The sequence below is a fragment of the Homo sapiens genome, chromosome 5 (assembly GCF_000001405.40).
Source record: "Homo sapiens chromosome 5, GRCh38.p14 Primary Assembly".
NCBI classification, from domain to species: domain Eukaryota; kingdom Metazoa; phylum Chordata; class Mammalia; order Primates; family Hominidae; genus Homo; species Homo sapiens.
Genome location: NC_000005.10, coordinates 145244149 through 145256845, shown reverse-complemented (window position 1 = coordinate 145256845; position 12697 = coordinate 145244149). Strand labels below are relative to the sequence as shown.

Genomic DNA, 12697 nt, shown 5'->3' with positions numbered 1-12697 from the left:
ACTCTAAATATACGTTTACATTGTCTTTTAGCCTCAACTACTTTTCTGATTAAAAGTATGCTGACATTCTTCTTTTTTCCACACATGTAATGTATGTTTTCCCTTCTGGCTACTTTAAAGAATTTTTAAAAATCTTAGTAGTTCAGTGTTTTTATAATTATCTGCTTAGGTATGGTTTTCTTTGTGTTTTTCCTGTCTGGGATTTGCTGAGATTTATGGATTTATGAACACACATCAGTGGTAGGCAGAATAATGTCCCCTCCCACAAAGAGATGTCTATGCCCTAATTCCTGGGATTTGTATATATGTTAGATTATATGGAAAAGGGCAACTAAGGTTGCAGATAAAATTAAGGTTATTAATTGGCAGACTTTAAAATAAGGATATGATTCTGGATCAACTGGGTGAACCCAATGTAATCACAACAGAAAATAATCAATAGAAACAGACATAGAAATGACTTAGAGGTCAAACAGACATAGAAGTGACTCAGATGACAAAAATGTCAAATGACAAAGATTTAAAAAAAATAATAAATATGCTAATAAATCTAAATGTTTAACAGGGAAGCAGAAGAGTCAGTGTTACTGAGATAAGATGTGAGAGAGATTCAGTCGTTACTGGATTTGAAGATGGAAGGAGGAAATAAGTCAAAAGAATGGGAACATTATCTAGAAGCTGATACGGCAAGAAAATTGATTCTTTTTTATGGCCTGCAGAAAATAACACTATCTTGGTGACACCTTGATTTTAGCCCAGTGAGACCTGTTTTGCCTTGACTTCCATGATTGTCGGGTAAGTTGTGTTGTTTTAGCTACTAAGTTTGTTATAATTTTCTACAGCAGCAACAAAAAACTAATGTAATGTCTCTTACCAAGTTTGGAAAATTGTTGGCCGTTATCTCTATTTCTTTTTTCCCCATTCTCTCTCTCTCTTTCTTTATGTATTCTGGGACTCCAGTTTTATGTATATTTTACAATTTGATATTTTCTCACAGATCTTGGATGTTCTATTATTTTTACTCTCTCTGTGTTTAAGTTTTAATAACATATATATATAGTTTTTGAGACAGAGTCTTGCTCTGTCATCCAGGCTGGAGTGCAGTTTTGCAATCATGGCTTACTACAGATTCAATTTCCCAGGCTCAAGAGATCCTTCCACCTTGGCCTCCCAAGTAGCTGGGACTATAGGTACACACCACCATGCCTTGCCAGTTTCTTTTTTCTTTTTTTTTTAATAGAGACAAGTTCTCACTATGTTGCTCAGTCTGGTTCAAACTACTAGGCTCAAGCAATTCTCTCACCTCTGCCTCCCAAAGCATTGGGATTACAGATGTGAGCCACTGCACCGAGCCAATAATTTCTTTTCACTGTATTCCAGTTCTCTGATCATTTCCCCTCTGTTATCATTTAAAAAATATTTTCAGTATTTCCACTTGATATGTTTTTACTATAGTTTTTATTTCTTTTTAGTATAGTTTTATTTCTTTTTACTATAGTTTTTATTCCATTTATCCTTTCTGTGTATTTTTTTTCCACTGGATTTGTTAACACATTCATCACAGTTATTTTAAAGTCTCATAATTCTAACATCTGAGTCATCTTTATGTTTGTCTCTATTAATTATTTCCTCCCTTAACAGTAGGCCATATTCTCTTGCATCTTTGAATGTTTCATAATTTTTAATTGAATGCCAAATATTACATATAAAAGAATAGCAGAGACTAAAGTAAATAATATTTATACCCAGAAAATGACATTGTTCTTCTTTTATCAAACTGTTAGTGTGTGAGGGGTGGCAGGGTGTGTTGGAGCAATTTAGTTGTAGTCTATAGGTGAGCTGGCTCTGAGATTTGCTGTTGCTTTAGTTAAATTCAGCTTTTTAGAAGCATCAAATTAATTGTGGGTGGAGTCATTTTTTTTTTTTTTTAATTCAGAGTTTGGGTTCTGACTACCTAGGAGGAATGTCTCATTTCTCGTATTTGGCCATCAGACTTTAACAAGACCTATGCACCTGAAAATCAGTGTAAATCTTTCTCATTTCTCTTGCCCATCTCTCAGTCATAGATGATTAGTTCTTAATTATATGTAAGGTTCAAAATGCCTGCCGGGTTTTTGAAATTCTCTTTCTCTACCCTTATACCTCAGTAAGTTTTGCAAATCTGTATCACAGTGTGGTTTTGTTTAGCTCTCCTGAATCTTCCCTAGGTTCAGAATGTCACTTCTTCAAGCTCAGTGTAAGGCCCCCATGACCTGTAGGGTTTCTCTCAGTTCTCTTGCTTTGCCCTCAGAATTAAACAGGTACATGAGCCTGTGCCTTCAGAGTCACCACTTTCTCTTCATTGCTCTTCTATCTTCTCTCTGACTTGGTATCTTTTCCATGAGGCAGGAGATCTGGCTGCCAGCAGATTGGGGCTCACATACTTGTAGTGTTTTGAACAGAGAGCAAAATAATCATCACTGGCAGCTTTAGTTTAGTTTTGTTTTTTTAAATCCCTCAGAGTAGTAATAACAAATAATAATTCGAAAAACAGAGGTTAATATTTATTGGATATACAATGTGTGCAAGGCAATTGTTAAGCATCTGTCTCTATATGTTTAACATGGATATTTACATAATAGGCATGTCATAGTAGAAATAAAATGATATGTATGAATAAATATAGTCAATCCTCATTATTCATGAATTTTGTATTTGAAAGTTCACTGAAATTTTGTGGTCATTCATCGGCACACATAACAGAACAGCAAAAGATTTAATTCACCTCATGCACAAGTTCTCAGCCGAGGAATAAGGTGACACTGCCTTCTTGTCGTTATGTGTGTGTGTATGTGTGTGTGTGTGAATCCTTACAATAATCATATGAGATACCTCCTATTATTATCTTTTTGTCTTCTTTTTTAGGAAATTAAGGCTCAGAGACATTTCTCTAAGATCATACAAACACTAAATAAAAGTGACAAAAGTTGCATTCAAAGGAAGACTGGATTTTTTTTTTGTTTTTTTTGTTTTTTTTAGATCTCACTCTCTTAGCAACTATACTTTACCACTTTAGTTGGCTTGGCTTATGTTTCATGATTGTCTCTGGAGGAATAACTGCGTTCAAATGATGGAAGACCAAACTGGCTTAGTTTGGGACATATGCCTACCTCTCTAACAGTTCAGCTACCCAGTTTGTTGAATGGCTTCTACAAGGAGAGGCAAAGAGGGAGATTTAGAATCTGACAGAGGCACCACAGAGATGGCTGACAGATTGCATCCTGAAGCCATGACTTGCAGGGATTCTTATGAGAGTTTTGTATTTCCATATGGGAAGCTCTGATGAATGCAAAGGAGAAAAAGCATGGATGTCAGATGGATCTCCTCCTAAAGCCTGACTTTGCTTTTTACGATTACTATGGGTATGGCCTCTAGGAATATCACCTAGTCTTTCTCAGATTGTTTCATCTATAAAATAGGTCTGATACTTACCCTTACATGGGGACTATGAAAATCAAATAAGATAATATTGTAACAGGTCTTGCCCAGCATAAGTATTCCATGATAACTTCTTCCACTCTATGGTAGCACCTTTTAAGTAAATAGTCAACCACAGGTTCTACCTCAATAGAATATCCTAAATTTTTGCTTTTAGTTTATCATCTCTCTGGGAATCCTACAATTCCTTTACTAGCATTCCAGCCAGAAAATGAGATTTGGACTGGTATTACATAGGAAATACTAAGTTGGTTGCCAACTTGATATTTTCCTTTAAATCCAGAAGAAATTTAGTGCAACACAAAGCTTCAGCAATACCAATCATTTTTCTCTCTTTCTGTTGCTTCCTAATAATTTCTATCAATCTTAAGATGCTTCCTTCAATGATTGTCCTTAGAGTTATTCCTCAAAAAATGTTTTTTAAAATATAGTAAAATTTACCTAACATAAAATGTATCATTTTAACCATTCTTTTTGATGCATGTATTTATTTATTTTTACTGGGTGAAATATACATAAAATATATGACTTTAGATGTACAGTTCAGTGGCATTAAGTGTGTTCACATGGTTGTACAACCATTATCACTATACATTTTGAGAACTTTTACGTCTTTCTAAACTGAAGCTCTGTACCTTTTAAACAATAACTCCCAATTCCTCTCTCCTCCTTGGGTTATTTCTTTGATCTAAGGTATTGTCATCAGAAACTGTCACCAAAAATGCACATATGTTTCCTGGGTATGGAGAAAGGCTAGCACATTAACACCTTACAGTTGATAAACATTAATACAATACAAAGACAAACATTTATTAGTGCTTCCTTTGTACTAGGAATTATGTTAAGCACTTCAAAGGCATTATCTAATTTAATCCTCTCAATAAACCTAGGATGAAGAATTTTTAATTTGAAAAATGAGAAAATCAAACCACAGAGAAATTAAATAGCTTTGTCCAAGATTGCACAGATGGCTTGAGGCAGAGCTGGCATTTGAGCTCAAGCCCTATAAATCTGATATGGGAAGGCATTACCTGGAATATTTGTTATTTATGCAGATTTTCGTTTAAGACAGGGCCAGAGAATCTACATTTTTAGCAAGCATAATAGACGATGTTTTTTGGACTTTAACATAAGAATCAACAGGAAGGCTTGTTAAAACAGAGATTCCCATCCATCACCTCTAGAGAGGTTGATTCAGGATGTTTAGAGTGGAACCTGAGAGTCAGCATATGTAACAAGCTCCCAGGTGATGCCAATGTTTCTGGCCAGATTTTGAGTAACAAACCTCTAGGCGTTTCTGATTCTGGTGGTGTGGATCACTCTGAAAAACATCACTATTTCAAATTATCTGCATAGTTAATTGGTTAGCTGAGAGTTATCTACAGAGAAAAGGAAGGAGCTTCTGGGTTTGGGTCAAACACCAGAAAAGTTGAGACAAGAGGGAAAGGGTAGGAAATTATTCAGACATGGACCCCTGACAGATGAGGTCAATAGAGATCCACTGAGAGCTTGGCTAGACTGTCTAGGCAGAGGCCAGGCTCCCAGGCCAAGGGTTGGTTGACTACCAGGTAAAAGTATCACTCAATGAGGCAAGCTGGGGAAGAGGCAAGGTTGTCAATGAAAACTGTGGGCATCAAACAAGGTGCAATGTCCATAACCAAAACTAGGACCTAGAGACAGAAAATGCAGAAAAGGGGCCCAACTATTTTGTCGAGGGTATCCAGGGCTCAAATAATCTACAAAAGACTATGGGGAGTATTGATCCCATATAGAGATGTTACAGCTGTGCTTGACTACCCATCACCAGCTGAGGTGGTTGGGATGATGAAGGCCACAAGGCTAGTCTCCTCTTCTACAATATTTGTAGTGCCTGCAAATTATTTTAGTTAGAAATCATTACACTGAGATCAAGACCCCTGAGAGCTTCCAACTCATGGAGCGCAGTTACAGAAGGCAAGAGTCTGGTGATATATTCTAACAGCAACTTGGGCTCATGGCCCACTTAAAAAGTTTGCTTGGGCAGCAGGGTCAGTATGATGCTATTGTGTATTCTGTAAATGCAAAATAATTGAGGTCACAAGTGGGAAAATAATTTACTATGCTCAGCAATAGTATTATCCATATGATCCTAGCCTGGAGTATGCCTCCCATTGCCCTCTGCTGCTGATCTGAAGGAGCCTTGCCTATAATGTCTTCAAGATAAGAAACTACTGGGGTCATCAAGAAAATCTTCTTGATTTCTCCCTTATACTTCCTCTTTTATCTAGATGTACATCTGACTAGGGGAAGTTATCTAGCAACTATGGATAGTTATGACATCTATTCTTCATCATTCCTTGTAATTACCTCATTTCAAAAACAAGTATGTTTTAAAATAACTTTTATTTTTCTGATTGCAAAGGCACTGTGTGTCATTGTAGAAACTGGATGTAAAATGAAAGTAAGTACCCACTAAATATTGTTTTCTGTGCTCTTCCAGGCACTGCAGATATAAGGGTGAACTGTTATTATAGTATCCACAACCTAACCTCCCAAAAGTGATTGCCATTAACATTCGTTTGTTTGTTTTATTTTTGTTTGGCTTTATCAAGATCCTGCTCCACATACTGTTTTATATCCCACTTTAAAACTTAACAGTGTTTCATGGAAAATATCCCAATGTCATTACCTAATTGCTGCATAGTGTTTGTATTCCATCTCAAAAGTCTGAACACCTTTATTCCACTTATTAACCACTACCTCTTGCCACTTCTTATCTAGACCATCTATCTAAGTCTCTTGGTACCCTCAGAACAACCCAACATCCCATGGTCTACAACTTCAAGTTCTTTTTCATCAATATTCTTAACTTCCTAGTCTTCATATCAATGATTTGATCGCAAGTTGGTCAGTCAGCAGCTTCTTTTTAGCCATGTTTTATACTACACTGATTCCCTCTGAAGCTGTTGGCTTGGTTCAAACACTTGCATTTTGAATGAAGTCAGAAACTCTGAATTCTAGCACCATTGGCACAGAATAAGCTTCTTACAAATATGTTTAATGTATTGCTGACTATAAAATACTCATCAACTCAGATATATTAGGTGAAAGTCCTTTGAGCAAAATACTGCATATTGCAAACCTGATTCTTGCCCCCACATAATTCATGCTGACGAAGGTTGTCTGTGTGTATTTGAGAATATCTTTCAACATTGATCATTGTAATTCTAAAGAGTAATGGTTTCTCCCCTGAAAGAACACAAAACCTTATCCAATAATATTGCCTTCCCAAACTGTATGTTACAAAAGCAACATCGTTGAAAAATTCTAGATCTATAAAGAAAAGAAAATTTAGGTTTTGGATATTCAGTTAAATGTCTTCATCTAAATTGTGTGCAGATTGCAATTGGCTATGCATCAAAAGGAGAGAGAGAGAGAGAGAGAGAGAGAGACAGAGAGAGAGAGAGAGAGGGAGAGGCATGGAAACTATACTGACAAAGAATGGAACCCTCCCACTCCCCTATTGCCCCTCCCTCCACCAGGTTCTATCACCTCACTCTTCATTCAGCCAAAGCACAAGGATTTAAAATTATGTCTTTTTTCTGTAAAGAATCATAATATCCCTTTAGGCATTACAAAACAGAGAACTGAGCTTAATACTAGAGAATAAAACCAAGAACCTGTCTTCTCTGCTGGCTGAAATATAGTATTTTCCCTTTAAAATAATGTTGAAGGAAGGTGAACCTTTAAACCTACAGATTTGCAGCCTAACACTGTAATTTATTTCTCCTGGCAACCGTTGCAATATTCCTAGATTTATGTAGAGAAGAAAAAATATAATTCTATTTGGAATGGACAAAACTCTAGAAAGAAAAAAACAAGTATTTTGGCTTTCATTGGTAAAAGGGGAAAATAGACTATGGGAATGTAACAGTCCATTGTCCAATCCTCTGAGGATTTTAGAAGGTAATTATAGGACAGTATTATATATTCAAAATATTCAAAATTGAGTATAAGGATCAGACTGCCCAAATACTACCAAATTAATCTTATCAACTAATAATAATGGATGAATGAAAAGGTTTAAAATTTGCAGAAGCATAGAAAAAATGACAGCAAAATAGTTATTGACTAACAAGAGCTTGTGTGCCGGGAAGGGGCATGTTAAATAATCAGCTTCATCTCTTTTGGGCTTGTTGCAAAAGCAAAGACATGAGAATTCTAAGTTTCTCTATTCTTCAGCAAATAGCTAATTTGTGGCTTTGTAATTTGTTTAAAAATGAGGGTCATATTTCATATAAAATGTGATGCTTATTAATGTGCAGAAAATATGCTGGTAGCAATAGGATGAAAAAAGCTTCTAAATCTGAACGAACATCAGCATAATATTTATTGAGGTTATATAAGTGAAACACGTGATAGCCTCAAATAATAGGCTGGCACTGAAAATTTTTACTGTAGTCCCTGAGACATTTCCTTCTGAAATTTAGTTGTTGGCACCTGATTATTGCTTCAGTGAGTTTGGCTCCCTAGGGATTAAGATGAGGAGACAATGCCAGAGTGCAGAAAAACTTACGTGATTTTTTTCTTTTTTGAGATAGAATCTCGCTCTGTTGCTAGGCTGGAGTACAGTGGTGAGATCTCGGTTCACTGCAACCTGCACCCCCTGGGTTCAAGTGATTTTCCTGCCTCAGCCTCCCAAGTAGCTGGGACTACAGGTGTGCACCACCATGCCCAGCTAATTTTTGTATTTTTATTAGAGATGGGGTTTCACCATGTTGGCCAGGATGTTCTCGATCGATCTCTTGACCTTTTGATCTGCCTGCCTTGGCCTCCCAAAGTGCTGGGATTATAGGTGTGAGCCACTGCACCTGGCCAACTTATATGATTTTACAAAGAATGGCCAAGAATAAACTTAGAGCAGCAATATTTTTGACTCCCAGATTCTCTTCTGACATCAACTCAGAGCTGGCTTCTCATTCTATTGAAATATGTTTTACATTTTTATAATCATAATTTTAAGTTAATATTTTTAAATTATAAAATAAAACCAACCTATGGTACAAAATTTGAAAAACTACACTTAAGCAAAGAGAACAACATAAGCATGTTTGTATCTTTATTCCGTTTTACCAAGGGCCTCTTTCCCCCATACATATACGAGGGTTAAGAAGGGGGGGGAACGAAGGAATGAAAATATAGGAATTTTGCATTTGTACTTACTGTTACATCCTGAGCAGTTCTACCTTTATGATTTTGTTGAAGTATCATTATTAATAGCTATTTTATATTTTATTATTATCTATCAAACTACTTCCCTACTGTTGGACACATTTAAATATTTCACAAGGTATATTAGTTATGATTTTCTTCAGGGACGCCTGTGACTCTAGCTACTCTCCAAATGTTGATAATCCCTGACTTCATATTGAAGTGTTTGGCCCTTTTTTAGGCAGGTAACAGGGAACCACTAGCAAGTTTTGGCCTCAGATTAGCTGAGGCCAGTATAATAAAGAGACATGATAAAAACGTACTGAGTGACTAATCTGAACTAGAATGTAGGATGTCTCAGAGACAGGAGGTACATCAGAACACTTGTCTGGTCCATGTCAGATTTTCTTGGCCTTTCTTCTAATTCTAGCTCCTGTTTGGGGGACAGCTTTATCTGTGTGCAAATGGCAGTACCTTGTTTGGGAACCATTCTCTATACTTCTTGCTTTGCCCAGGGACTTCTCTGCTGCAGGCCTGGGCATGCCTGATTGGCATTCAATACTAGCCACTCATGTATGTGCAACCCAGGATTTGGGGAAGTTAGCATATACAGAGCAACCTTTGAGTAATGTAGGACAGAAGACCATAGAAAAATCCTTTTCTGTTCTTTTTTCAGAAGATGGTTCAAAGAGGCATTTCCTAAGACTTCTCACCTGGCACTGTGGCCTAAGCAGCCACTTGTCTTGTAACCACCCAGTGGGTTCACCTTGCCTGCTGCCTAGACAGAGCCAATTTGTCAAAACAGGGGAATTGTCATGGAAAAGAGTAATTCACAGAGTTGACTGTGTGGGAGACCGGAGTTTTATTATTACTCAAATCAGTCTCCAGCATCTGGGGATCAGGTTTTTAAAGATAATTTGGTGAGTAGGGGCTCGGGAATTGAGGAGTGATGATTGGTCACGTTGCAGATGGAATCAAACGGGGTCAAAGTGAAGTTTTCTTGCTGTCTTCTGTTCCTGGGTGGGATCACAGAACTGGTTGAGTCAGATTATAAGTCTGGGTGTGGTGTCAGCTGATTCACTGAGTGAAGAGTCTGCAAAATATCTCAAGCACTGATCTGAAGTTTTACAATAGTGATATTATCCACAGGAGCAATTTGGGAGGTTCAGACTCTTGCAGCCAGAGGCTGCATAACCCCTAAACCATAATTTCTCATCTTGTAGCTAATTTGTTAGTCCTGCAAAGGCAGACTGGTCCCCAGGAAAGAAGAGGGTCTTTTCCGGAAAGGGCCATTATCAATTTTGTTTCAGAGTCAAACCATACACTAAATTTCTTCCCTAGGTTAGTTTGGCCTACACCCAGGAATGAACAAGGACAGATTAAAGGTTAGAAGCAAGATGGAGTTGGTTAGGTTTCATCTTTTTCACTGTCATAATTTCCTTAGTTATCATTTTTGCAAAGGCAGTTTCCGTCTCGTAGAGCAGTGGCAAATTTGATAATGTAAACTTGTACTGGCTCTCTTTCTCTTACCATGTCTCTCATACCTGCTCCTTAATAAACTATTCATGCATAGGCTTTTATCACAAGATTAGCCTTGGGAGAGCCCATGCCAAGGAAGGAAGGAAGGAAGGAAGGAAAGAATATAATTGCCTTTCCCCAGAGAGGCTTTCTCAATCTAAACTAGAATACCTATTAATATACCACACTTTTATCTTAGAGTGGTTACAGTATCTTTACATTTTTTTATTTGTACAACTACATATTTATCACTCTCTTCCCCCATTTGAATGTAAGAGCCTTGAAGCAAAGGCCATGTCATTTTGATTCACTATTATATCCCCGGTACTTAATAAAAATGTATCAGATAAACAAAATAGTGAATGTGATTTTAAAACTTTCCTCTAAACCCCACGCTTCTGCAGTCTAGGCTGTCAGAAGCTATACTCTCTATTACATCTTTTTTGGCGGTAGGGGTTATTGTCTCTGATTTTCTTAGAAAGACACGTGACATTAATTAGGATAAAACAGAATTTCATTGATCCTCCCATTTACCAGGTTTATTGTTGTTAATCGAATTTCTTCACTTCGATTTTGTGTATTCTAAGTAAAATCTCGTTTCCTCAGTTCAAGGTCCTTGTAAGTGCAGTTGATCTGTTTCATTGTGTCCCAAATTAAGACAATTTGGGAGTTTCCTGACCTCCCCTGTCCTCTTTCCAGAGGATTCTTAGAAGATTAGCTGAAGGCAGTATAATTAAAAAAAAACAAAAACAAAAATAAAAATGTGTTGAGTGCCACGGTGCTTTTTACATTGACATGCACAGTCTAGTGAGAGGAAGAATCATCCTCTGTATTTTACGCTGAAGAGAATGAGGCTCAGAGAGATTATGTGAAATACCCAAATTCACACAACTAATACGGGGTCTCATTCCAAAACCTGTGCTGTTAACTATTACATTTAAGAGCTGCTTGAATCCACTGAACTTCCGTTTCTTTTGAATCAACAGGAAGGATTTTTCCTGCCTTCTGCAGTCATCCTTAGTCCTTCAGGGCAGCGGAGAAGAATCTAATCAGGACCCCTGACCTTGTCATTCATTCTTTTTCTCACTCTTAAGTTAACTGCAGGCACCCTAGGGAATGGAATTGTAACTGCTTTGGACTTCAGAGGAGCAGGCCTAGCCAGAAAAACCACGTCAAAGTTCTCACAGCAAAACCAAGTGTAATGTTTTTTGGATATTAATGTGCTCTCTCTCTCTCTCTCTCTCTCTTTCTCTTTCTTTTCTACCCGCTCACTTTCTCTTTCCGTGTCTGCCTTACTTTGGGTGGAAGTGAGGGTAACAGAAGGAATAGAAGGATATCTTCATTGCACTTTATTTTTTTCTGAAATACAAATTTATTTAAAATTGGTCTCTGAGGATTTGCAAGTTTTTACTATTGGGCACTGTGACAGTTTAAACTGTAGCTTCTTGGCATTGAATCTAAATCTATGAAAATAAATCCTATTGGGAAGCTCATTTCTTAATTACAGGACATATTAGTATCTAGCTTTAAGAGTTTTGTAGTGGGTTAAAGAAATATTTTAGTTAGAAGAAAGCTTTCTCTTAATCTTTTTGCTATAGTGACGTCAATGAAGTATCATAACCATTAGTTTAAAATAAAAATAACATAAAGAGAAAAATGTGCCGGAACAAAAAGAGATGCTTTGAATACTTTGGAAATGAGTCAGAGAAGAAATATAAATTTTAAAAATAACAACTCTGTTTTCTTTTATGTGGAGTAAATCCTGAGGAAGACTCATATACTGCAGTGCTGATTTTATTCTAGGTAGAACTGTGGATAGGCAAAATTTTTTTGCATGTAAAAGAAAATTAGGGTGAAATTAACTCTGATCTGAATTGGACTTCAGTAAGTAACAGCAATTCCCAAAGTTAATGGTTAGATATTAAATTTTACATATTTGAGTAACATATTTAAATATATTATCTAAATTCATTTAAGACCTTCCCTGCTATGAAGAAATTTTACTTACTATGAGTTGAAATTGGGGAATAATGCAAATGAAGAGTCTCCCTGTAGAAAATACTTGAGTCCCTGGGTCTGTGTGCCGTGAAACTGTAGTGAGTCTTCACCATTATTCTACTCCAGGGAATATGGTCTCATAACAGCCTTTCCCTCCTGTTCATTCCCCCAAGGCTGTGTCACTGCATCTTTTTGTACCTTCAATTCAGGCCACCATGCCAAACATTCTTCACTTTGTAGATGTTCGAGGAGCACCTGCCACCCGCCAGGCACTTTGCTAAATACTTGGAATAGGGTAGCAGACAGGGAGTACAAGTGGTCTGTGTCCTCAAAAAGCTGTCAGTTTCGAGGAAAGTAGAGGACTGGGCAAGTATATTAAGAGTGAAATGCATGTTACAAAAAAGTTGGGGCCAGCCGTGGTGGCTCAGGCCTATAATCCCAGCACTTTGGGAGGCTAAGGTGGGTGGATCACTTGAAGTCAGGAGTTCAAGACCAGCCTGGCCAACATACTGAA

General features: G+C 37.1%; 1 protein-coding gene across 1 annotated transcript in view; it reads left to right on the top strand.

Moving 5' to 3' along the window:
- The window catches only part of PRELID2 (PRELI domain containing 2), a 606358-nt gene that overhangs the window by 578497 nt on the left and 15164 nt on the right, over positions 1-12697 (top strand). Inside the window, exon 9 of the transcript XR_007058586.1 lies at positions 566-795. The gene's annotated coding sequence lies outside the window, so the exon portion shown is untranslated. The remainder of the gene's footprint in view (positions 1-565; positions 796-12697) is intronic.